This window comes from Homo sapiens, chromosome 11, assembly GCF_000001405.40.
Source record: "Homo sapiens chromosome 11, GRCh38.p14 Primary Assembly".
Classification (NCBI taxonomy): domain Eukaryota; kingdom Metazoa; phylum Chordata; class Mammalia; order Primates; family Hominidae; genus Homo; species Homo sapiens.
Window position 1 is genome coordinate 10450573 of NC_000011.10, and position 23471 is coordinate 10474043.

The window sequence follows — 23471 nt, forward strand, 5'->3', positions numbered from 1 at the left end:
GGTCTGGGGAGCCCGGCTGGCATCTGCTCCGGGCTGCGGCGCGGGCCCCGCGGAGCCCAGGAGGCGGCGGGTGCTTCCGGCCAAGGGCCCTGGCGGCCGCCGCGCCCCTGCTGCTCTCAAGTTTCCCGTTGGCGGCGCGGCCCGGGCGCTTCAGGTAGCCTCTCGGCTCTCTCTGCTCCGCTCCGCGCCCAGGTAGGGCACCGACGGGGGCTGCACGCGGCTGGCCGGCTTCCTCCCTGCTGAGGCGGCCCTCCCTCCTCCCGCGGGGCCCTCCTGGCCGGGGATCCGCAGCGCTGCGCCCTCTGAACGCCCGGCCCCCGCGCCTGCTGCGGGGCGCGGCCTGGCCGGGCCCTGGCCCCGGCTGGCCTCAGTGCCCAGCAGCCCCGCTCCGCTCTGCCCAGCGCGTCCCCTTTGCTCCAGCCCTGCGGCCGTCCCTTTCGGCCGGCGGCATGGCCCTGTCGTCCGAACCCGGTGAGTGCGCGCGAGGCTGCGCTGCTGACCTTGGGCCAGCCCCGCGGACCCTGCGGCCCAGGCGGGAATCAGCAGCGCCCTGGGGTCTGAACCGCGGCTTCCGCCTTCCCTGCTCGCAGAGGCGGTGGCGCTGACTCCGGTCCGATCCCTTGCCCTGTCCCCTGTTCCTGTCCCTGTCCCTACCCCTGCCTCTGCGGTGGCCCGAGCCCCAGCGGCCTCAGGTGAGCGGGCAGCATCCCGATTCCCTGGCGGCCTAGAATGGAATCGCAAGGTTTAGAGAAATTAAGGGACCTGGGACTTGCCACCCTGGGCAAAGTTCCTAGGTGCTTGAGGACTGGCTGGATGTGGACAGCTGAGGTGGACTTCTACCTGGAGGCGAGGGATGCACTGGATGATAGGGTGATGAGGTCGTTTGAGGCCTTCATCCTTACCTCTTTGGCTCTCTCCCGGCAAGGGAGGTGTACAGCCTTGGGCTCTGGCAGTCTGCTTTCTGCCCTTGATCTTCTGGTAGCTGCTTTGCCAGCAGAGCTGCTAATGGCTGTTGTAGGCTGGCAGAGGTCCCTGGGGAGAGTTTTGAGAGGCCTTGGAGTAGGAGAGGCTTGCTAACTAGGGTATCATTTCCCCAAACTGTATGTGGCTGAAAGCTTGATGGCGACACATCAGCAAAGGAGCTGGGTGAAAGCAGGCAGCACAAGGAGGGATTTTAGCATGGTCTTGAGCCCCTGTTGGCTTTCCCTCAGGATGCAGTGACCAACATTTGGCCATCTTCATGGAAAAGCTGCCTGCAGCTGGAACCTGCAGAGGAGAAATTCTTTCCCTGGCTGTGCAGCACTAAGGCCGAGTGTTAGTGGAGCCATTGAGCCAGACAGACAGAGCCTCTGTCACTTCACACCTCTAGGAGTGTTGACAGCAGGTCTGGGGTAGTTGGCCTGGCCTGGCTGCAGCTTCATGGGGCCTGGCTTGCTCTGAGGATGATGGTATGGGGCTGCCCTCTCTAGGAATAATGACACCTGCATAGGTGGTGGCTGGGAGACTCTTTGACCTCTCAGTCCCATCCTTAGCTCAGCCTCTGTCTTCTAAGGTTCTCCTAGCTCTCAGCTAGGTCAAGAAGCTCTTTGAGAGATGAGGTTTTTTGTAGTTGTTTTTTTTTGCCTCTACACTGACTGGATCACTCTTCAAATGGCCTCAAAATCTGTCTCAGGTCTTGAAAATGTCATGGGCAGATAACATGTAGCCTTCGGGTTAACAGGGAGATACCCTTTCTCCCCTAAAGCTGCCCATTGGCCTCCATGATTCTTCCACCAAGTATAATAATCTCTTAGTTCTTCTGTATGCTGGTTGCATATCTAGGACAACAGACAATTGCTTTGGGCTTTTGATTTGTAAGGAACTGACTGGGGCATGGGAGGATGAGCTCATGGCTGGAGTCCTGGCTGTGTACAGTCACCGAGAAGTACCATTCATAGGGGAGAAGGATGTTCCTCCTCCTGATCTGGCTTCACATTTAAATATGTTTTCCTTCTTCCTGCACCCAGGTAATAGAAACTTGGGAGAGTGCCAGGCACATGGTGGTGCTCAATAAATAAGGTTGAATAAAAGGATTCAGTGTCTAGATAAAACTTCATGTTCATTTTCCTAGTTCTTCTCTCTCGTATCTGATATCATAATGATGATGACAATGATGTTGGCAGATAATGCTTATAAAACACATACTCTATGCCAGGTACCAGTCTAAACACTTCACTTATGCTCATTGTCATGGCAACCTATGAGATTGGCTTTTTATTATCCACACTTCATAGGGAATAAAACCGAGCCACAGAAAAGTTATTTAACTTGCCCAAGGTCATACAACTAAGTGGTGGAACAGGATTCAAATGCAGGGAGTCTAGCTGGAGTTTTTTTTGTTGTTGTTTGTTTGTTTGAAATGGAGTCTCACTCTGTCACCCAGGCTGGAGTGCAGTGGCACAATCTCAGCTCACTGCAACCTCCACCTCCCGGGTTCAAGCGATTCTCCTGCCTCAGCTTCCCAAGTAGCTGGGATTACAGGCGCCCGCTACCATGCCAGGCTAATTTTTGTGTTTTTAGTAGAGATGGGGTTTCCCCATGTTGGCCAGGCTGGTCTCAAAACTCCTGACCTCAAGTGGTCTGGCCGCCTCGGCCTCCCAAAGCGCTGGGATTACAGGCGTGAGCCACCACACTCAGCCTGAGTCTACGTTTTTAGCCATACACTCTACTCATTCCTGAGATTGCCATAGGTGGATTGATCTATTATAAATAGCTAGTTCACTTGTTCATTGTTTTATGCATTCATTCATTCAACAAATACTTGCTGAATGTCGACCATATTTCAGGTATGGGGATACAACTGTGAATGAGACAGGCGAGATTTGTCATGGAGCTGGTATTTAGCAAGTGAATCCCCTTTGTCCAACTCCTTGTGTGAGTCACACACACCTCACAAATGAGAAGAAAAATGAACCCCTCTATGCAAGCTCATGCCTGGCTTTTGGGGAGGAGAGTGATATCTTTCTTTTTCTTTTTCTTTTTTTTTTTCTTGAGATAAAGTCTTGCTCTGTCGCCAGGCTGGAGTGCAGTGCAGTGGTGCAATGTCAGCTCACTGCAACTTCTGCCTCCTGGGTTCAAGTGATTCCCCTGCCTCAGCCTCTCAAGTAGGTGGGACTACAGGTGCGCACCACCATGCCCAGCTAATTTTTTGTGTTTTAGTAGAGATGGGGTTTCACCACGTTGGCTAGGATGGTCTCAATCTCCTGACCTTGTGATCCACCTGCCTCGGGCTCCCAAAGTGCTGGGATTACAGGCATGAGCCACCATGCCCGGCCGATATCTTTCTTGATGAGACATAATTTGATTCCGTCCTCTCCTGTCTTTTAGAGTTTGTAAGGGGTGCTTAAGTGATAAAAGGGGATGCAGTCTAGTCTCGGGCAGGAGAAGCGGGCCCTGTATCTGGTTATCATAAATTGTCTTGATGTTTGTTCGAAAGGGAAATAAGGCTTTGAGCTTGGGATCAGTGCTCTTCAGTCCACAGAGACATCTTGGCTGCAAGAAGCAGCAACAAGTTAGGCTCAAGGTGGAATTGTGAGGTCCTGAGAAGAGCTTGCTCTTCTGGGACAGAACTGTATTTTTCTTCTAAACTGCCCATGTTCTGGGGAGTCTTCCCGCCTTTTGGCTTCAGCAGGACCCTTGGTCATTGTTACAACCTGTGTCATCTTAGTGGAGCTGCTGCTGGTTTCTGTCTGAACCCGATGCAATGGGTCTCATACCTGTAAACTGGGCTCCAGGAAGGCAGCTTTCTCTAAGTTGGAAAATGAAGACTCAAGGTGGAGGGTGTTTCCCAAAGCCGATACCACAAGATATTAATAGGTGTTTTTTTCCTATGACAGCAGTTCTAGGATGGTCAAATAAGTGCGTCGGGTTAAACAAAGTTAAGCAGCTTTCTTTACTGCAGGACTTCTCAGGTGTTGAATTTGCTAGTAGAAACTGTGCATGAATACCCATAAGGGACTACAGGATGCAGTGTTTTCCAAGCCTTCTGACCTTTCATGTTCTGCAGACTGCACTTTGAAAAATGCTTGTTTAGACTAAGGCTAGCTGGGATCCGGTTAAAGGTGCAGAATAAAATTCCCTGAACGTGTCGGACTTAAATCCTTGGGCTGGAATCCTCCCACTGCAGTCCCCACTCTACCTCCCCTTTCCCCAAAACACTAGCAGAAAAAGTCATCTGCCCCTCCTCCTTCTGGCAGAATAGTACTAAGGGCTTGGATTTTTTTCTCATACTGTAAGTTCATTTAATTGTTTAATGAATAAATATTACCCTCCCTCTAGGTTGCTTGTAGCCTGCTGGTTGCACTGTTTATGAAACAGCTGTGAGGACAGGTGGGCCGTAATCTCTGGGTAGCTAAAGCCCAGCAGCAGCCCGAGGATCATGTGTCAACCCTGTAATACTGCTCTGTGCACACAGGAATTATGATGTGAGCTCAGTAAGACACAACCTCACGATTGGACATGCGGAGGTGACTCAGGCCCAAGTCAGGGTTACAGCTAGCCTCCCGGTAAACAACTGACCCATCCTTCCTGAGCTCTTCTCCCCAGGATTTCAACAGCACCACAGAAATAGCCATTTTGCTCATGGTTATTTCCCAGGACCACAGGATTTGCCTAAGTCACTGGGAGGCTATGTGTCTGTTCTGAGCCTTCCCACTCTCCTAAAGGGCAGATGAAGATCAGAGCTTTGCACCCTGTGATGCCATTTTAATCAACCCTGCTTGGTTTTAGAGGATTGCTCCTGTGGGTCACTTGAGGCAGGCTCCACCTTCCCCAGGAGGAGTGGCAGAGTCCAGCCAGCGCTCGGAGCTGGAGGCCCACGTGGGAGCAGTGAGCGGCTGTAAGCAGGGGAGGGTTTGGGGTGGGCTCCGGTGGGTCAGTTGGGGTGTACTCCTTTTCTGTGTGTGTGGATGGGGGTGGGGGTTCTGGTAAAGCTTATCAGGCTTCGCAGTCACCTGTGATGTGGGCTTCCTTCTGGGAAGAAAGGAAGGAGTGGGATGGGGCTGTCAGCTTTTCATCCTAGCCTGCCCCTGTCCTCTGTCCGCCTCTGTGCTGAGGCAGTTCCTGCTCCCTGAGTCTCTGTCCTTTCCTGGGAAAGGTGGAAGCAGTTCATGGTCTTTCCCTTTCAGAGGAGGAGGGGATGGAGGGGATTGTATTAGCAACTGGGATTGAAGCTCCCCCTGGCAGTTATGGGGTGCCCTTGGGAGGGCTGCTTTAGGGGGGCTTTCTGAGAAGAGGCAGGTCGGGCTGTACCTGAGACCAATCCCCTTGATAAAATGCAGCCAGGCCTGAAGCACGTTCAGAACGGAAGCAGCAAAGGTGATGATATCGCTCGTTGCTACTCAGCTTTCAGGAGGAGGCTGGGCGTTAGAGGGAGGCTGTGGCTTATCTCCTGCAGCTGGGCAGGACGGCTGAGTTTACTGTTGTAAAGAGGAAGCCGCCGCTTTAGTTTCCTCTTGTGAGGGCTGTGAAGAGGGCCAGGACACTGCATTCAGGATACCACAGCCATTTTGTTTTGGATAACTGGGATTACCTGGGGACTTCAGGGCTCTTGGAAATTTTCCACTCATATTTCATATTCACGAGAGAATTTCCAGCCCAGGCTTTTCCTGCTCTGGCTCACTGCTGCTCACAGATATGCAAAACAGAGACCTCCTACTCCAGCCGGCAGACAGGACCCAGCCAGCTGCACGCACGCACTGACTCAGCTGAGCCTCCTGGGTGGCAGGCAGCACCTCACCCGGGTGCATCACTTGAGTGGCATCTTCAGGACCAGTCATGGAGCCAGGCTCAGGTCTGTGTCGGGGCTTCTGCAAGGGGAGTCTGGCAAGAGTAGGAACCAGCTTCCTTCGTATAACGAGGGGATTTCAGTGGCACTGGGCTTCCTTTCTGGAGGGACTGTGGCACCATGAAAAGTTACTGTTTGTTGAAACTGGCAGTGTTTTAGAACTTTCTAACTTTGGGACACTTCTTCAAGTTCATCAGAGCGTGTTGCATGTAACAGTGAGATAAGCTGTATCATTGGCTGACTGATGCTGGTGAATTCACAGCTAAGCCTCCCAAGCCTGCTGGCTTCAGCTGACAAAGGGTTGGAAGCCAGGCGTGAACATGCAGCTGGAGCTGAAGCTCTGCTTGGCATCTGCAGAGTGAGCTTTCCTTGTCAGGCCTGGCCTGGCAGGTGTCTGGAGGGTCTGAGAGGAGAGACACTCTGGAGGGACGGGTTGGCAGGTGGGAGCTGTCTGCCAAGGACATCCAGAAGGCAGCAGATGTGGGGGCAGCTGCTAAGGCCTGCAGCACCCCAAGTGGGTTACTTGGTCCATACTAAGATATGGAATTAATTATTTTGTTGTGGTTGCTGTTGTTTCTTGCTTTTTTTTTTTTTTTTTTGAGAGAAGGTCTTGCTCTGTCACCCAGGCTGGAGTACGGTGGTGCCATCATGGCTCACTGCAGCCTGCACCTCCAGGACTCGAGCAATTCTCCCAACTCAGCCTTCCAAATAGCTGAGACCACAGGTGCATGCCACCACACCTGGCTGTTTTTTTTTCTATTTTTTGTAGAGATGAGGTTCTGACATATTGCACCAGGCTGATCTCGAACTCCTGGCCTCAAGCGATCCTCTTCAGCCTCCCAAATTGCTTGGATTATAGGCATGAGCCACTGCACCCGGTCTTGGAATGAATTATCTACCAACTATTTAAGACACTGGTAGTAGTTCTGCGGAAGATTTTTATGGGTTCTGTAAAACAAAAAGGGTTCTGTATGTTAATGTTACTCTATGATCCTTGATTTTAATGAGCCTTATGAATGTGAGTTGAGGGGCTGTGGAATGCAACATCTCCCAATAACTGACCACAGGACCTGTTTTACCAGCAACAGGTATCAATTTCTTATGGCATCCAGTTTGGGAAAGGTTGATTTAAGCTAAAGAGAAAGGAAGATATGTTATAGAAAGCTGTGTCCTGAAAAGTATTTTTAGTTGATTAGAGCAAGCTAAAAATGCTTTGTGCGCTGGTATGATGGCTCACACCTATAATCCTAGACCCTGGGAGGCCAAGGCAGGCGGATCACTTGAGACCAGGAGTTCAAGACCAGCCTGGCCAACATGGTGAAACCCCATCTCTACTAAAAATACAAAAATTAGCCAGGCATAGTGGTGTGTGCCTGTGGTCCCAGCTACTCGGGAGGCTGAGGTGGGAGAATCACCGGAGCCTGTGAGGTCGAGGCTGCAGTAAGCTGTGATTGTGCCACTGCACTCCAGCCTGGGCAACTGAGACCCTGTCTCTCAATCAATCAATGAATAAATGCATGCTTCATGAGCAAACATGGCAGGATCTGGCATAAGAGCCCTCAGACATCAAGGACTTCCCTCCCACCCAAATACCCATTGCCAAGGGAGCCTGGTTGGGGGTGTCTGGGTCAGGCCTGTGTGTGTCTGAGGGCATGAAGGAGGTAGGAAGGTGCTGCTGGTGGTGGATGGCTTCTGTCCAGGGTAGGAGCTAACACAGAGATAGGTCTGAATGGTGAAACTCCCTTTGGCCTGGCCTCTCAATAGTGTGGGTTAGGCTGATCTTGAACTCTTAGCCTCAAGTGATCCTTCCTCCTCAGCCTCCCAAATTGCCTGGACAACATGGCAAAACCTCATCTCTAAAAAAAAAAAAAAAAAAAAAAATTAGCCAGGTATGGTGATGCTCCCTCCCTCCCTCCCTTCGGCAATTAAGGAGGGAGCCCTAATTGCCAAAACCTGCCAGAAAAAGAAGTTTGTTTTCCTATTTTTCTCTCTTTTCATAGAGTCTTAAGTCTACTCATTTTCTTTCTATTCTCTTTGTATTTGTTAAAAATGGCATTATAATAGCATTCATCATCAAAATAAAATATCCTCTCACACACAGGCAGCCCTGCCACCTGGTCATTTTGACTGCGTGAATCTCTTGCAGGTCTTGCCCATAAAGGGATGCATTTTCCTTTCACTGTAAATAAAGCATGGGTATGGTTCTATGTATTAATTTTTTCATTTACTGTATTTTTATTTTTTTATGTGATTGCACCATCCTCATAATCATAATTCTGATTACTTAACATCTTTTTCAAGTGAGTATGCTCTAATTTAGGCATTTTAAAGCTATTTATGTAAATAATGCAGGTAAATATCCTTGTGCTTTTCATTCTTAGGATTCTTTTTTTGAAAGAAATTTGTAGAAGTAAAGTTGCTTAGTCAAATGGTATGGTGCTTTATGGCATTTGCGGCCTTTTGCCTGGGCTGTTGGGTTGCATATCTTCTTCTGAGATGCGATGTGAGGTTTTGGGATGGTGCCCTTGATTGGTGGCCTTGGAATAAGGGGGGAGGTGAGGATCCAGTTTCGTTTCAGCCTGATGGAGCCTCCTGGGTCTGGTTCTTTGTGCTGTTCCAGACTTTCTCTCCCCTGTCACCTCCTTTGATGGCCTCCAGCTTCCCCCCTCTCTGCTATCAAGACATGGAAATCCCCACAGGCAGCTCTGTTCCTCTTCCTTTTTGCAGAGGCCAGGCCTCGCTGTCTTGATGTCTGCTCCCCAGACAGTTGTGTGTTGACAGGCTGTTCCCCACCAGCTCCCTCCCACTCCTCTCATCAGGGAGTGGCAGGTCCTTGGGTCTCAGAGTTAAGGGAGCCACAGACCTCACTCTGATTGCCTGTTGCTAGCCTGCTTTCTTCCTTCCTGTCTGTGTCATGACTTAGTCCCACATGCCACTCAGACTCAGAGCAGCAAGCCCTCCTCAGGCACCGGAAATCTCTCTGGTACCTAGAATTATGCCACTTAGAGCTGAGAGGGCCTTAGAGACCACTTAGTTCAATCCCTTTATCTCACAGATGAGAACATTGTGAGGCCGGAGAATGACTGTCCCAAGATGGCCTAGTGTGTTCCCCTCCCCTGTAGCTGCACTTCTCCCTGCTGGACAGCAGCAGGGCTCTGTCTCATCTCCATTCTTGTCTGTCTGGTCCACAAAACCACTTCTCTCTTTAAACCAACTTTAAAGAAACTGTGGTCATAGGTAGATGGGAAACTCCTCTTCCAGAGCTGCTCCCAACGAGGGTGGCTTGTCGAAAAGGGTGCAGTATTAATCCATTCCACAAGTGTTATGCTGGGGACTGTGAGGAGCCCCTGCCCGGACACATACGTGGACAAAGAGAAGCAGCACAGCATGGTGGGTGAGGGGACAGAGGCAGGAACCAGGTGCCTGGGTTCAGATCCCTGAGCTGAGGATCAGAGAGGAAAGGGATGAGAGAGAAAGGCTGAGAACAGCACAAATCTCTGCTGACTTATTAAAAGTGTGACCCTGGGCATGTTAGCTCTCTATGCCTTCATTTTCTCATCTGTCAAGTGGGAATAATAAGATTAACTGAGTTAATAAGTATGAAGTTCTTTGCAGAGTATATATATGTATGTATACATATATAAAATATATATTATATATAATATATATTATATATAATATATATTTTATATATATATATATATTTTATTTTTAAAATTGAGACGAGGTCTCACCCTGTCTCCCAGGCTGGAGTGCAGTAGTACGATCATAACTCACTGCAGCCTCAACCTCCCTGGCTCAAGAGATCCTCCTGCCTCAGCCTCCCTAGCAGCTGGGATTACAGGCATGCATCACCATACCTGGCTAATTCTTTAAATCTTTTTTAGGGATGAGGTTTTGCCATGTTGTCCAGGCTGGTCTCAAACTTCTGGGCTCAAGCAGTCCTCTTGCCTTGACCTCCCAAAGTGCTGGTATTACAGGCGTGAGCCACCACACCCGGCCCCAGAGTATACTTTTTTTTTTTTTTTGAGGCAGAGTCCCACTCTGTTACCCAGGTTGGAGTGAAGTGGCTCAATCTTGGCTCATTGCAACCTTCACCTCCTAGGTTTAAGCAATTCTCTTGCCTCAGCCTCCTGAGCAGCTGGGATTACAGGTGCCTGCCACCACGCCTGGCTAATTTTTTTGTATTTTTAGTAGAGACGTGGTTTTGCCATGTTGGCCAGGATGGTCTCAAACTCCTGACCTCAGGTGATCTGCCCGCCTCAGCCTCCCAAAATGCTAGGATTACAGGCGTGAGCCAATGCGCCTGGCCAGAGTGTACATATTAAGTGCTATACAAGTAATTGCAAAAAAGGAAAGAAATAAGGAAATGAAGAAAGCAAGCAAGCAAGAATGAAACCCAACCAACCAAGCAGGTGGTTGAGGCCAGTGACTGTTAGTAAGGAATCAGTATGCGAGGAGGTGGATAGAGAAAGCTTCTTTGAGGGAGTGAGTTTTCAGCTGGGTAAAGAGTGTTCTAAAACCTTTATTTTATTTGCTGTGTCTTGTTAGGAGGTTCCAGAGGGTTTGGAACTGCAATAGCAGATTCTTTCTCTTCAGCAAAAGGCCTTGATTTATGTAATGAAGAATGCAGCTTTGGATTTCCCAGGGCTCTGCTGTAATCTTGTGCGACCTTAGCTGTTAAAGCCTCTGTGAAGTGGGGGAGTGAGGTTTGATTATTGTTGCAGCTATAACAGTATCCTCATAGTCTGGAGGAGGGAGAGCTGAACTCTCTCTTGTCCCTTCTCAAACATGGGAACAAAGTCAGGAGGGCAGGGCTGCCAGGTGCTGCAGATTCCCTGAGTTTGGGAAAATGGAAGCCCACCTAGTTGAACAGTTCATTCTTTGAATTTTGAACACTTGCTTTCTCCTGACACCTAAGTGGCCCTACATGCTTCACATCCAGTTACTTATTGAGCTAATTTTGAAATTGGCATGCTGGGTTTGGTCTGGGGCATTCCTAAGTAGACAGCTGACCCCAAGTACCAGGTGGGCCTGGCCCTCACTTCAGTGCCTTCTCTTCCCCGGTGCTGGTGACTCAGGGCATCCTGCAATTCATGCTTGTTCTTTCTTTGCTAGCTGAGATGCCGCGGCAGTTTCCCAAGCTGAACATCTCTGAAGTGGATGAGCAAGTCCGGCTCCTGGCGGAGAAGGTGTTTGCTAAAGTGCTCCGAGAAGAGGACAGCAAAGATGCCCTGTCCCTGTTCACTGTCCCAGAGGACTGCCCCATCGGGCAAAAGGAAGCCAAGGAGAGGGAGCTGCAGAAGGAGCTGGCAGAGCAGAAGTCTGTGGAGACCGCAAAAAGGTTTGTTCCCAAGGCATGGTTTTCGTGTACATAGAGTCATGCAGACCCAGGCAGGCTGTGGGTGTGTGTCCTGATATGAGGCACCTCATGGGGACTGGTATGTCCCTAGAGCTGTGTTGGTTCCTTAACCAAGACCACTTAACTCACCTCTTATTTATTGAGGGATGTCTCGGTGCCTCTGTTGCACTGAAAAGATCAAAACCCACTTTGCTGCTGATGTGAAAAAATACACACCATTTCCAAATGGCATTTCTCTTTTCTTTTTGGAAATTTGAGGATTTCTTAGGAGACAGCAATTGTATTTCTTCTCATCACTTGACAAGCATTTTGCATTACTAATGAACACAGCTTACTATTTGCCGGGTGCTGTGCTGGGACTGGAGATGTTATAATGAACAAGATAGATAGAGTCCCTGGGTCTAGACAATAATTAAGTAACTGGACAAATTAACTTAAAAATTACAAGTTATAATAAGTGCTGTATCAGTCAGGGTCCAACTAGAAGATCAGAAACCAATGAAGTATTAGAATTTTAATGCAGGGAATTGGTTACACAGGTGGTAGAGAGCTGAGAAACCAAACAGGGGAGAGAGAGGCGGCTCAGAGATTAGACACAGTAAGGAGCAGCTACTACCCAGGACAGGAGTGACAAGGAAAGCAGTAGTGTTTCTGGAGCCAAGGTGGAGTCGCCCTGGGGAAGGTGGAACTGTGGTGGACTTTCCAGTGGAAACTGGAGCCAAGGGGAAGAGGTGGCAGCTGCAGAGATGCCTCCCAAGGCAGAGATGGAGGCAGGCAATACCTCGTTTGACCCTTTCTGCACCTTCCAGGTTCTCCCAGTGGCTGCCATGGGCCAAACCTAGCCAGAATCCTGCTGGCACACTTGGGAAACACAGGAGAGGATGAGGAATGGATCTGAGGGCAAACAGGCCCAGGAGCAGCGCAAGTGCTATGAAAGAGATGAATAAGGATGAGATGGGGTTAGGGGAGAGAAAGGCCGGGAAAGAGAGAGAAAAAATCCTTTTTTAGACTGGGAAGTCAGGGAAGGCCTCTCCAAGGAGATGACATCTTAGCGGATGCTTCAGGGTATAAAGAAGCTAGCTATGTGGCCTTCCAGATAGAAGAATCAGCTAGGGCAAAGGCCCCCCAGTTTCTTCCAGAAGGCCCATGTGGTTAGAGGTCTGTTAAAGGAAGAAGTGCTGTGACCAGGGCTGGAGGACTTGTGGGGCCCAGATCAGACTGGCCTTGTGCTCCCTGATAAGAAGTTTGGATTGGAGTCTAAGTGAAATGAGAAGCCCTCATCCTTTCACAGTTTATCTCACCCTGGGCTTTATCAGATTTTCTGCCTGCCCGGTACCCTGCAAACATCAATAGTTGACATGGTAGACCTTTGAGCCCTCTCCGACCTAGTCTGTGATCACACTAGATACTGCCTCAGTTTTAAAGGCAAGTCTTTTCCTTTCTTGGTTGTGTAGAAGCTCGCATTTTCTTAACTCGTTTGGAAAGAAGTAAAAAGTTGACTACTGGTGTAAAGGCAAGAACAGAGCTTCACCACTCATAAGACCAGTGCTTTCCTTCCTTGAAAGGATGGTGAGCCCATAAAGGCAGGAGTCACTGGTGCCATTGGTTAACCTCTGAGTGCCAGCCTTGTGTTGGATAAGGTGGGGTGGCCCCAGCCCCAGCAGTGTGCTCATCCCTGGAGGGTCAAGAAGAGTATGACTGTAGAGACCCTCATTCACACTCCGTGGGTGGAACAGAAGGGCTGACTTCATCAAGTGAATGGTCTGCAGGGCCTTCTGTGTGTTATGAATTGAGCATTTGAGACCCTTAACAATGAGAGGAAAAGAAATCCTGGCATTTTTTATTACTAGGAACAATAAGTTTCTGGAACCAGTTTCCACTACAGAGTGACACTGGGCCTGACATCTGCTGAAGCGACTGTGCTCTTCTCAATGCCCAGACTCAGGGCAAAATGGAAGCTTTCTTACTCTAAGTCTTAATGGTGCTCTGTGGTTTCCAGAAATTCCCCTGCAAACTTCTCTCCAAAAACTTTGTTCTGTCCTTGCCTAGGTTATGGTGTCTTAGTTTGCATCTGTCTGCGCCATTTGACTAGACGCTCCTTGAGGACTGGATCCATTGTGGAACTTAGTTGGTGGGCAGTGGATGTCTGGCAGAGGAAGACATCCTGCCTCCCCATTGCCACCATGGACACTACATCAGGGTGGCTGCAACTTCTTGGACCTCTGTGTTCTGCCACTCACTGTCATGCTCTGTGACTTTGGGGAAATTAGGAAACCTCTCTGGGCCTCAGCCTCGTCCTCATCTATAAAGTGGAGATGCTAACAGCTACCTTCATGGGGTGTTGTGAGGAATGAGGGAATCCACAGGTAAAAGGCTTCGGACAGTGTCTGGTTATAGTGCATCCCGAGTAAATATAAGTGATTTCTCTGACTTCCTGCTGCTGAGACAGGGAACAATAGCAGCTCCTGCCATTGAATACTTACTATGGGCTAAGTACTAGCCTGTGTAGGTTGGATTCATTCTTTAATTCTCACATCGAGCTTATCAAATGGATATTCTTAGTATTCTGATTTTGCAGATTAGGGAACGAAGGCTCAGAGAAGTTGAATTTACTTTCACAAAGACACATAGTGAGTAAATGACAGAGCAAGAACTAGAGCCCATATCTTTTGAATCTAGACCCCACACTTCAACCATAAGGCTATCCCCTCTTCAGGTAGGGGTGGAGTCTTCGGTTCCCTGGTCTGTAGACCCTGGAATGACACTAGGTGCTGCTCCCTAGAATGTAATTGTTGCTTCTAAATGAAATGGAGGGAAACTGGTCAAAGCTCCCGCTCTGTCCATCGGCTTCTTTCCTGAAAAAAAGCTTGGTCCCTGGACTGTCAGATGCCCCAGCATCCTCCTCTGGGGTCTGCCCATACCCAATTTTGTCTTTTAGTTTCTCTTCTCACTAGAGGTGCCTTTATATGTAAATGTTCGAAAGTTAACATTTTCATGGAGGACACCCTCTCCCCAGCTCCCTCTTTGTCTGTGGCACCTCCCATCCCATCTCCTATTTATTCTTACTTTACACAGAATTCTATAATCTGGCTATATTGTTTCTTATCCCGTGGCAGATTTAAAGAAGCAAATTAGAAGCAGGGAGAGAGACTTCTACAGGCAGGGTCACAGAGGTGATGTGTGGTGATTATAAGCCTGGGCTTTGGGGTCAGACCTATTGGGTTCAAGTGGCAGCCCTGTCACTTACTACTGAATGGCCTTGGTCAAAGCTCTTGACTGCCTGAGCTGGTTTCCTAAACTGCAAAATGAGAATAATAAAAGGACATACCTTGTGAGAATTAAATGAGCGAATACACAAAAAATCCTTAGCGCAGTGCTTGGAGCACCATTAATGTTCCTGTTTTGTTATTGTTGTTATTAGACAGTCAACAGTGAGAGAGGAAACAAAATAATTATGAAAAGCAGGCACAAGAATTTGAAGCACAGTAGTTTAGGGATAACACACCTCTGAGATCATAACTGGATAATACAGTGATGATCCTGGGTCATTGAGAAAACTTTAAATTATGTTCAGCATGCTTTGAGGAAGAATGCAGGAATTATGTATTTTTTTAAGAAGCCAGATAAAAATTGATTTTTAAAAAATTAGGATATAGTTAAGGCTGGCAAGATGGCCAATTAGGAACATCTCCGGTCTGCAGCTCCCAGTGAGATCGATGCAGAAGGGGGTGATTTCTGCATTTCCAACTGAGGTACTGGTTCATCTCACTGGGGCTAGTTGGACAGCGGGTGCAGCCCAAGGAGGGTGAGCCAAAGCAAGGTGAGGCGTTGCCTCACCTGAGAAGCACAAGGGATGGGGGAATTATCTTCCTTACCCAAGGGAAGCCTTGAGGGACTGAGCCTGAGGAACTGTGCACTCTGGCCCAGATACTGTGCTTTTCCCATGGTCCTTGCAACCTGCAGACCAGGAGACTGCCTCTGGTGCCTACACCACCAGGGCCCTGGGTTTCAAGCACAAAACAGGGCGGCCATTCAGGCAGACACTGAACTAGCTGCAGGAGTTTTTTTTTTTTTTTTTTTTTCTGTACCCCAGTGGCGCCTGGAGCGCCAGCAAGACAGAATCATTCACTCCCCTGGAAAGGGGGCTAAAGCCAGGGAGCCAAGTGGTCTGGCTTGGCAGGTCCCAGCCCCATGGAGCCCAGCAAACTAAGATCCACTGGTGGCCAGGCGCAGTGGCTCATGCCTGTAATCCCAGCACTTAGGGAGGCCAAGGCGAGTGGATCACCTGACGTCAGGAGTTCAAGACCAGCCTGGCCAACATGGTGAAACCTCATCTCTACTAAAAATACAAAGATTAGCCGGGCGTGGTGGGGGGCACCTGTAATCCCAGTTACTTGGGAGGTTGAGGCAGGAGAATCGCTTGAACCCAGGAGAAGGAGGTTGCAGTGATCTGAGATCGCACCATTGCACTGAGCTTGGGTGACAAGAGCAAAACTCCGTCTCAAAGAAAAAAAAAAAAGATCCACTGGCTCAAAATTCTCACTGCCAGCACAGCAGCAGTCTGAGATCAATCTGGGACACTCAAGCTTCGTAGGGGGAGGGTCGTTGGCCATTGCTGAGGCTTGAGTAGGAGGTTTTACCCTCACAGTGTAAACAAAGCCACCAGGAAGTTCAAACTAGGTGGAACCCACCGCAGCTCAGCAAAGCTGCTGTGGCCAGACTGCCTCTCTAGATTTCTTCTCTCTGGGCAGGGCATCTCTGAAAAAAAGGCAGCAGCCCCAATCAGGGACTTATAGATAAAACCCCCATCTCCCTGGGACAGAGCACCTGGGGGAAGGGGCAGCTGTGGGCACAGCTTCAGCAGACATAAATGTCCCTGCCTGACAGCTCTGAAGAGACCAGCAGTCCTCCCAGCACAGCGTTCAAGCTCTGCTAAGGGTGAGACTGCCTCCTCAAGTGGGTCCCTAACCCCCGTGTATCCTGACTGGGAGACACCTCCCAGTAGGGGCCGACAGGCATCTCATACAGGAGAGCTCTGGCTGGCATCAGGCAAGTGCCCCTCTGGGATGAAGCTTCCAGAGGAAAGAACAGGCAGCAGTCTTTGCTGTTCTGCAGCCTCCACTAGTGACACCCAGCCAAACAGGGTCTGGAGTGGACCTCCAGCAAACTCTAGCAGAGGGGTCTGATTGTTAGGAGGAAATCTAACAAACAGAAAGGAATAGCACATCTAATCAGAGACCACATCCGAAAATCACCAGCATCAAAGACCAAAGATAGATAAATCCACGAAGATGGGGATGTAAACCAGTGCAAAAAGGCTGAAAATTCCAAAAACCAGAATGCCTCTTCTCCTCCAAATGATCACAACTCCTTGCCAGCAAGGGAAAAAAACTGGACAGAGAATGAGTTTGACCAATTGACAGAAGTAGGCTTCAGAAGGTGGGTAATAACAAACGCCTCTGAGCTAAAGGAACATGTTCTAACCCAATGCAAGGAAGATAAGAACCTTGAAAAAAGGATAGATGAATTGCTAACTAGAAAAACCAGTTTAGAGAAGAACATAAATGACCTGATGGAGCAGAAAAACACAGCACGAGAACATTGTGAAGCATTCACAAGTATGAATAGCTGAATCAATCAAACGGAAGAAAGGATATCAGAGATTGAAGACCAACTTAATGAAATAAAATAAGAAGACAAGATAAGAGGAAAAAAAATGAAAAGGAATGAACAAAGCCTCCAAGAAATATGGGACTATGTGCAAAGACCAAACCTACGTTTGATGGATGTACCTGAAAGTGACGGGGAGAATCGAAACAAGTGGAAAACACTCTTCAGGATATTATCCAGGAAAACTTCCCCAACCTAGCAAGACAAGCCAACATTCAAATTCAGGAAATACAGAGAACACCACAAAGATATTCCTCGAGAAGAGCAACCCCAAGACACATAATCGTCAGATGCCCCAAGGTTGAAATGAAGGAAAAAATGTTAAGGGCAGCCAGAGAGAAAGGTCAGGCTACCCACAAAGAGAAGCCCATCAGACTAACAGCAGATCTCTCTGCAGAAACCCTACAAGCCAGAAGAGAGTGGGGGCCAATATTCAACATTCTTGAAGAAAAGAATTTTCAACCCAGAATTTCATATGCAGCCAAACAAAGCTTCATAAGCAAAGGAGAAATAAAATCCTTTACAGACAAGCAAATGCTGAGAGATTTTGTCACCACCAGGCCTGCCTTACAAGAGCTCCTGAAGGAAGCACTAAACCTGGAAGGGAGCAACCGGTACCAGCCACTGCAAAAACATACCAAATTGTAAAGACTATCAACACTTCGAAGAAACTGCATCAACTAATGGGCAAAACAACCAGCTAGCATCATGATGACAGGATCAAATTCACACGTAACAATATTAGCCTTAAATGTAAACGGGCTAAATGCCCCAATTAAAACACACAGACTGGCAAATTGGATGAAGAGTCAAGACCCAACAGTGTGCTGTATTCAGGAGACTCATCTCAAGTGCAAAGACAGACATAGGCTCAAAATAAAGGGATGGAGGAATATTTACCAAGCAAATGGAAAGAAAAAAAAAAAAGCAGAAGTTGCAAGTTTAACCTCTGATAAAACAGACTTTAAACCAACAAAGATCAAAAGAGACAAGGAAGGGCATTACATAATGGTAAAGGGATCAATGCAACAAGAAGAGCTAACTGTCCTAAATATATATGCACCCAACACAGGAGCACCCAGATTCATAAAGCAAGTCTTAGAGACCTACAAAGAGACTTAGACTCCCACACAATAATAATGGGAGACTTTAACACCCCATTGTGAATATTAGACAGATCAACGAGACAAAATTAACAAGGATATTCAGGACTTGAACTCAGCTCTGGAACAAGCTCCAACCCAAATCAACAGAATATACATTCTTCTCAGCACCTCATCACACTTACTTTAAAATTGACCACATAATTGGAAGTAAAACACTCCTCAGCAAACGCAAAAGAATGGAAATCATAACAAACAGTCTCTCAGACCACAGTGCAATCAAATTAGAACTCAGGATTAAGAAACTCACTCAAAACCACACAACTACATGGAAACTGAAAAATCTGCTCCTGAATGACTACTGGGTAAATAAGGAAATGAAGGCAGAAATAAAGATGTTCTTTGAAACCAGTGAGAACAAAGACACAACGTACCAGAATCTCTGGGACACATTTAAAGCAGTGTGTAGTGGGAAATTTATAGCACTAAATGTCCACAAGAGAAAGCAGGAAAGATCTAAAATCAACACCCTAACATCACAATTAAAAGAGCTAGAGAAGCAAGAGCAAACAAATTCAAAAGCTAGCAGAAGACAAGAAATAACTAAGATCAGAGCAGAACCGAAGGAGATAGAGACATGAAAAACTCTTCAAAAACTCAATGAATCCAGGAGCTGTTTTTTTTTTGAAAAGATCAATGAAATAAATAGACTGCTAGCAAGACTAACAAAGAGAAAAAGAGAGAAGAATCAAATAGACACAATAAAAAATAATAAACGGGGTATCACCACTGATCCCACAGAAATACAGACTACCATCGGAGAATACTATAAACACCTCTATGCAAATAAATTAGAAAATCTAGAAGAATTGGATAAATTCCTGGATGCATACACTCTCCCAAGTCTAAACCAGGAAGAAGTTGAATCCCTGAATAGACCAATAACAAGTTATGAAATTGAGGCAGTAATGAATAGCCTACCAACCAAAAAAAGCCCAGAACCAGACAGATTCACAGCCAAATTCTACCAGAGGTACAAAGAGGAGCTGGTACCATTCCTTCTGAAACTATTCCCAACAATAGTTTGGAGCTGGTACCATTCCTTCTGAAACTATTCCAAACTCATTTTATGAGGCCAGCATCATCCTGATGCCAAAACATGGCAGAGACACAACAGAGAAAATTTCAGGCCAATATCCCTGATGAACATCGATGTAAAAGTCTTCGGCCGGGCGCGGTGGCTCACGCCTGTAATCCCAGCACTTTGGGAGGCCGAGGCGGGCAGATCACGAGGTCAGGAGATCGAGACCATCCCGGCTAAAAACGGTGAAACCCCGTCTCTACTAAAAATACAAAAAATTAGCCGGGCGTAGTGGCGGGCGCCTGTAGTCCCAGCTACTTGGGAGGCTGAGGCAGGAGAATGGCGTGAACCCGGGAGGCGGAGCTTGCAGTGAGCCGAGATCCCGCCACTGCACTCCAGCCTGGGCGACAGAGCGAGACTCCGTCTCAAAAAAAAAAAAAAAAAAGTCCTCAATAATATACTGGCAAACCAAATCCAGCAGCACATCAAAAAGCTTATCCACCACGATCAAGTTGGCTTCATACCTGGGATGCAAGGCTGGTTCAACATATGCAAATCAATCAGCGTAATCCATCGCATAAACAGAACCAATGACGAAAACCACATGATTATCTGAATAGATGCAGAAAAGTCCTTCAATATAATTCAACACCCCTTCATGCTAAAAACTCTCAATAAATTAGGTATTGATGGAACGTATCTCAAAATAAAAAGAGCTATTTATGAAAAACCCACAGGCAATATCATACTGAATGGGCAAAAACTGGAAGCATTCCCTTTGAAAACTGGCGCAAGACAAGTATGCCCTCTCTCACCACTCCTATTCAACATAGTATTGGAAGTTCTGGCAGGGGCAATCAGGCAAGAGAAAGAAATAAAGACTATTCAAACAGGAAAAGAGGAAGTCAAATTGTCTCTGTTTGTGGATGACATGATTGTATATTTAGAAAACCCCACCATCTCAGCCCCAAATCTCCTTAAGCTGATAAGCAACTTCAGCAAAGTCTCAGGATAAAAAATCAATGTGCAAAAATCACAAGCATTCCTGTATACTAATAACAGACAAACAGCCAAATCATGAGTGAACTCCCATTCACAATTGCCACTAGGAGAATAAAATAGCTAGGAATCCAACTTACAAGGGATGTGAAGGACCTCTTCAAGGAGAATTACAAACCACTGCTCAAGGAAATAAGAAAGGACAAAAACAAATGGAAAAACATTCCATGCTCATGGATAGGAAGAATCAATATCATGAAAATGGCCATACTGCCCAAAGTAATTTATAGGTTCAGTGCTATCCCCATCAAGCTACCATTGACTTTCTTCACAGAATTAGAAAAAAACTACTTTAAATTTCATATGGAACCAAAAAAGAGCCTGTATAGCCAAGACAATTCTAAGCAAGAAGAACAAAGCTGGAGGCATCACGCTACCTGACTTCAAACTATACTACAAGGCTACAGTAAACAAAACAGCCTGGTACTGGTACCAAAACAGATATATAGACCAATGGAACAGAACAGAGGCCTCAGAAATAACACCACACATCTACAATCATCTGATCTTTGACAAACCTGGCACAAACAAGCAATGGGGAAAGGATTCCCTATTTAATAAATGGTGTTGGGAAAACTGGCTAGCCATATGCAAAAAACTGAAACTGGACTCCTTACACCTTATACAAAAATTAACTCAAGATGGATTAAAGACTTAAATGTAAGACCTAAACCATAAAAACCCTAGAAGAAAACCTAGGACATTCAGGACATAGGCATGGGCAAAGACTTCATGTATAAAACATCAAAAGCCATGGCAACAAAAGCCAAAATTGAGAAATGGGATCTAATTAAACTAAAGAGCTTCTGCACAGCAAAAGAAACTACCATCAGAGTGAATAGGCAACCTTCAGAACAGGAGAAAATTTTTTCAATCTATCCATCTGACAAAGGGCTAATGTCCAGAATCTACAAAGAACTTAAACAAATTTACAAGAAAACAACCCCATCAAAAAGTGGGCAAAGGATATGAACAGACACTTCTCAAAAGAAGACATTTATGCAGCCAACAAACATATGAAAAAATGCTCATCATCACTGGTCATTAGAGAAATGCAAATGAAAACCACAATGAGATACCATCTCACGCCAGTTAGAATGGCGATCATTAAAAAGTCAGGAAACAACAGATGCTGGAGAGGATGTGGAGAAATAGGAATGCTTTTACACTGTTGGTGGGAGTGTAAATTAGTTCAACCATTGTGGAAGACAGTGTGGCTATTCCTCAAGAATCTAGAACTAGAAATACCATTTGACCCAGCAATCCCATTACTGGGTATATACCCAAAGGATTATAAATCATTCTATAAAGACACATGCACACGTATGTTTATTGCAGCACTATCCACAATAGCAAAGACTTGGAACCCACCCAAATGTCCATCAATGATAGACTGGATAAAGAAAATATGGCACATATACACCATGGAATACTATGCAGCCATAAAAAAGATGGGTTCATGTCCTTTGCAGGGACATGGATGAAGCTAGAAACCATCATTCTCAGCAAACTAACACAAGAAGAGAAAACCAAACATCGCATGTTCTCACTCATAAGTAGGAGTTGAACAATGAGAACACATGGACACAGGGAGGAGAACATCACACACTGGGGCCTGTTGGGGGGTGAGGGGCTAGGGGAGGGATAGCATTCGGAGAAATACCTAATGTAGGTGTCAGGTTGATGGGTGCAGCAAACCACCATGGCATGTGTATACCTATGTAACAAACCTGCACATTCTTTACATGTACCCCAGAACTTAAAGTATAATTAAAAAAAGAAAAAAATTAGGATATAGAGGGAAAAATTTTATTAGTTGAAAAATTTGGCTATCTAGGACAGCCGCTTCCCTAGAATGTTTTGAGTGAAATTGAGAAACATATGTGCTTTATGAATTGAGCATAGCACAGCTAAAGTGTTGCTAAGTCACTTCATTTTATGAAACTTGTGAAAATAAGAATGGGGAACTTTTTAAACATTCAGGATCATTGACAAAGGAGCTTCATTTGAAATAGTCAATCTATCCCCTTTTAAAGTTAGGGAGAGATTGGGCTGGGCGCGGTGGCTCACACCTGTAATCCCAGCACTTTGGGAGGCTGAGGCGGGTGGATCACCTGAAGTCAGGAGTTGGAGACCAGCCTGGCCAACATGTAGAAACCCTGTCTTTACTAAAAATATAAAGGTTAGCTGGGTGTGGTGGCACATGTCTGTAATCCCAGCAACTCCGGAGGCTGAGGCAGGAGAATTGCTTGAACCTGAGAGTCAAAGGTTTCAGAAAGCCAAGATCACCCCACTGCTCTCCAGCCTGGCTGAGGGAGGGAGACTCTGTCTTGAAAAAGAAAAAGTTAGGGAGATTGGGAAGCCGAGGTGGGTGGATCACTTGAGGCCAGGAGTTTGAGACCAGCCTGGCCAACATGGCAAAACCCTGTCTGTACAAAAAATACAAAAATTAGCTGGGCATGGTGGTGTGCGCCTATGGTTCCAGCTTTTTGGTAGGCTGAGGCACGAGAATTGCTTGAACCCAGGAGCTGGAGGTTGCAGTGAGCTGAGATCGTACCCCTCCATTCCAGCTTGGGCGGCAGAGCAAGACCCTGTGTCAAAAAAAAGTAAAAATAAAAATAAAGTTAGGGAGAGAGATTGTAACACTTAAGTTAACAGATAGTACAGATTGCACTTCATTTTCATCTCCAGGTCTTTAGGGAGGAAGGGCAGCTGGGAAGGATTGAGGAAGGGAGAAGCGAAGGTGAGTGGCAGGAGATGAGTGGAGATTACAGTAGGCCAGGAGGGGTTGTGGGGAAGGGAGGATGGAGAAAGAAGGGGCAGGTTTCCAGAGGAGCTCAGGGAGAGACAGAGGGTGGGGCTGTGAGTTTTCACACCTGATTGGCTGCAAAGTGTTAGAATCAAAGTTACACCCACCTGGCCAGGATGCTGGTCATCTGGCTGCATATGCGGAGTGAGTGATCTCTGTGCGCCCCTGCTCTCTCTGTAGGGACCCCTGTTATAGTGCCCATCGTGCAGCATATTTCTCCAGATAGGCTGGGACCTCTGGTCTCAAGTACAGGGAAGGTGTCAGCCCCTCTTAGTTCCCTCCTTAGATGGGGGTCCCAATTCCAGGTGAGCCAATGCAGGGGCAGCGTGAGCAGCAGCAGTGTGAGCCTATGGAAGTGGAGGATGCCTGTCCCGCCTGATGGCATTCAGATTCCCAGTGTTTGCAAAACTCTGTGCTGGTTTGTGACTTCTGATTCCAACCTTTATTTTAGCGTAACAATTCTCATGTGGAGGGGCTGCCAGAATGAGCTGAGTGTGCGTGGGGGAGGAGTTCAAACCAGCCTCCATGTTCTGAAATGTCCCCCCTCTGACCCCATTGCTCCA

General features: G+C 47.1%; 1 protein-coding gene across 5 annotated transcripts in view, besides 6 other annotated features; it reads left to right on the forward strand.

Moving 5' to 3' along the window:
* Positions 1–23471, forward strand: part of AMPD3 (adenosine monophosphate deaminase 3) — a 57192-nt gene that overhangs the window by 185 nt on the left and 33536 nt on the right. Inside the window, exons 1-2 of one of the 5 annotated variants that reach the window (NM_000480.3) lie at positions 119–471; positions 10943–11168. In NM_000480.3, coding sequence (NP_000471.1) covers positions 450–471; positions 10943–11168 — 248 coding nt within the window. In that variant the 5' untranslated portion in view covers positions 119–449. Of the gene's footprint in view, positions 1–118; positions 472–4691; positions 4877–5483; positions 5831–10558; positions 10853–10942; positions 11169–23471 lie in introns of those variants that run through there. The other 4 variants (NM_001025389.2, NM_001025390.2, NM_001172430.1 and 1 more) reach the window with 4 other exon arrangements.
* Positions 9–168: a silencer, noted in NCBI's record as "silent region_3150". NCBI's record gives its function as "represses an Ori minimal core promoter by ATAC-STARR-seq in GM12878 lymphoblastoid cells {active_cell/tissue: GM12878}" and the evidence as "EXISTENCE:reporter gene assay evidence [ECO:0000049][PMID:35858748]".
* Positions 269–458: a silencer, noted in NCBI's record as "silent region_3151". NCBI's record gives its function as "represses an Ori minimal core promoter by ATAC-STARR-seq in GM12878 lymphoblastoid cells {active_cell/tissue: GM12878}" and the evidence as "EXISTENCE:reporter gene assay evidence [ECO:0000049][PMID:35858748]".
* Positions 609–738: a silencer, noted in NCBI's record as "silent region_3152". NCBI's record gives its function as "represses an Ori minimal core promoter by ATAC-STARR-seq in GM12878 lymphoblastoid cells {active_cell/tissue: GM12878}" and the evidence as "EXISTENCE:reporter gene assay evidence [ECO:0000049][PMID:35858748]".
* Positions 1169–1298: an enhancer, noted in NCBI's record as "active region_4434". NCBI's record gives its function as "activates an Ori minimal core promoter by ATAC-STARR-seq in GM12878 lymphoblastoid cells {active_cell/tissue: GM12878}" and the evidence as "EXISTENCE:reporter gene assay evidence [ECO:0000049][PMID:35858748]".
* Positions 5567–5616: an enhancer, noted in NCBI's record as "active region_4435". NCBI's record gives its function as "activates an Ori minimal core promoter by ATAC-STARR-seq in GM12878 lymphoblastoid cells {active_cell/tissue: GM12878}" and the evidence as "EXISTENCE:reporter gene assay evidence [ECO:0000049][PMID:35858748]".
* Positions 8416–8545: an enhancer, noted in NCBI's record as "active region_4436". NCBI's record gives its function as "activates an Ori minimal core promoter by ATAC-STARR-seq in GM12878 lymphoblastoid cells {active_cell/tissue: GM12878}" and the evidence as "EXISTENCE:reporter gene assay evidence [ECO:0000049][PMID:35858748]".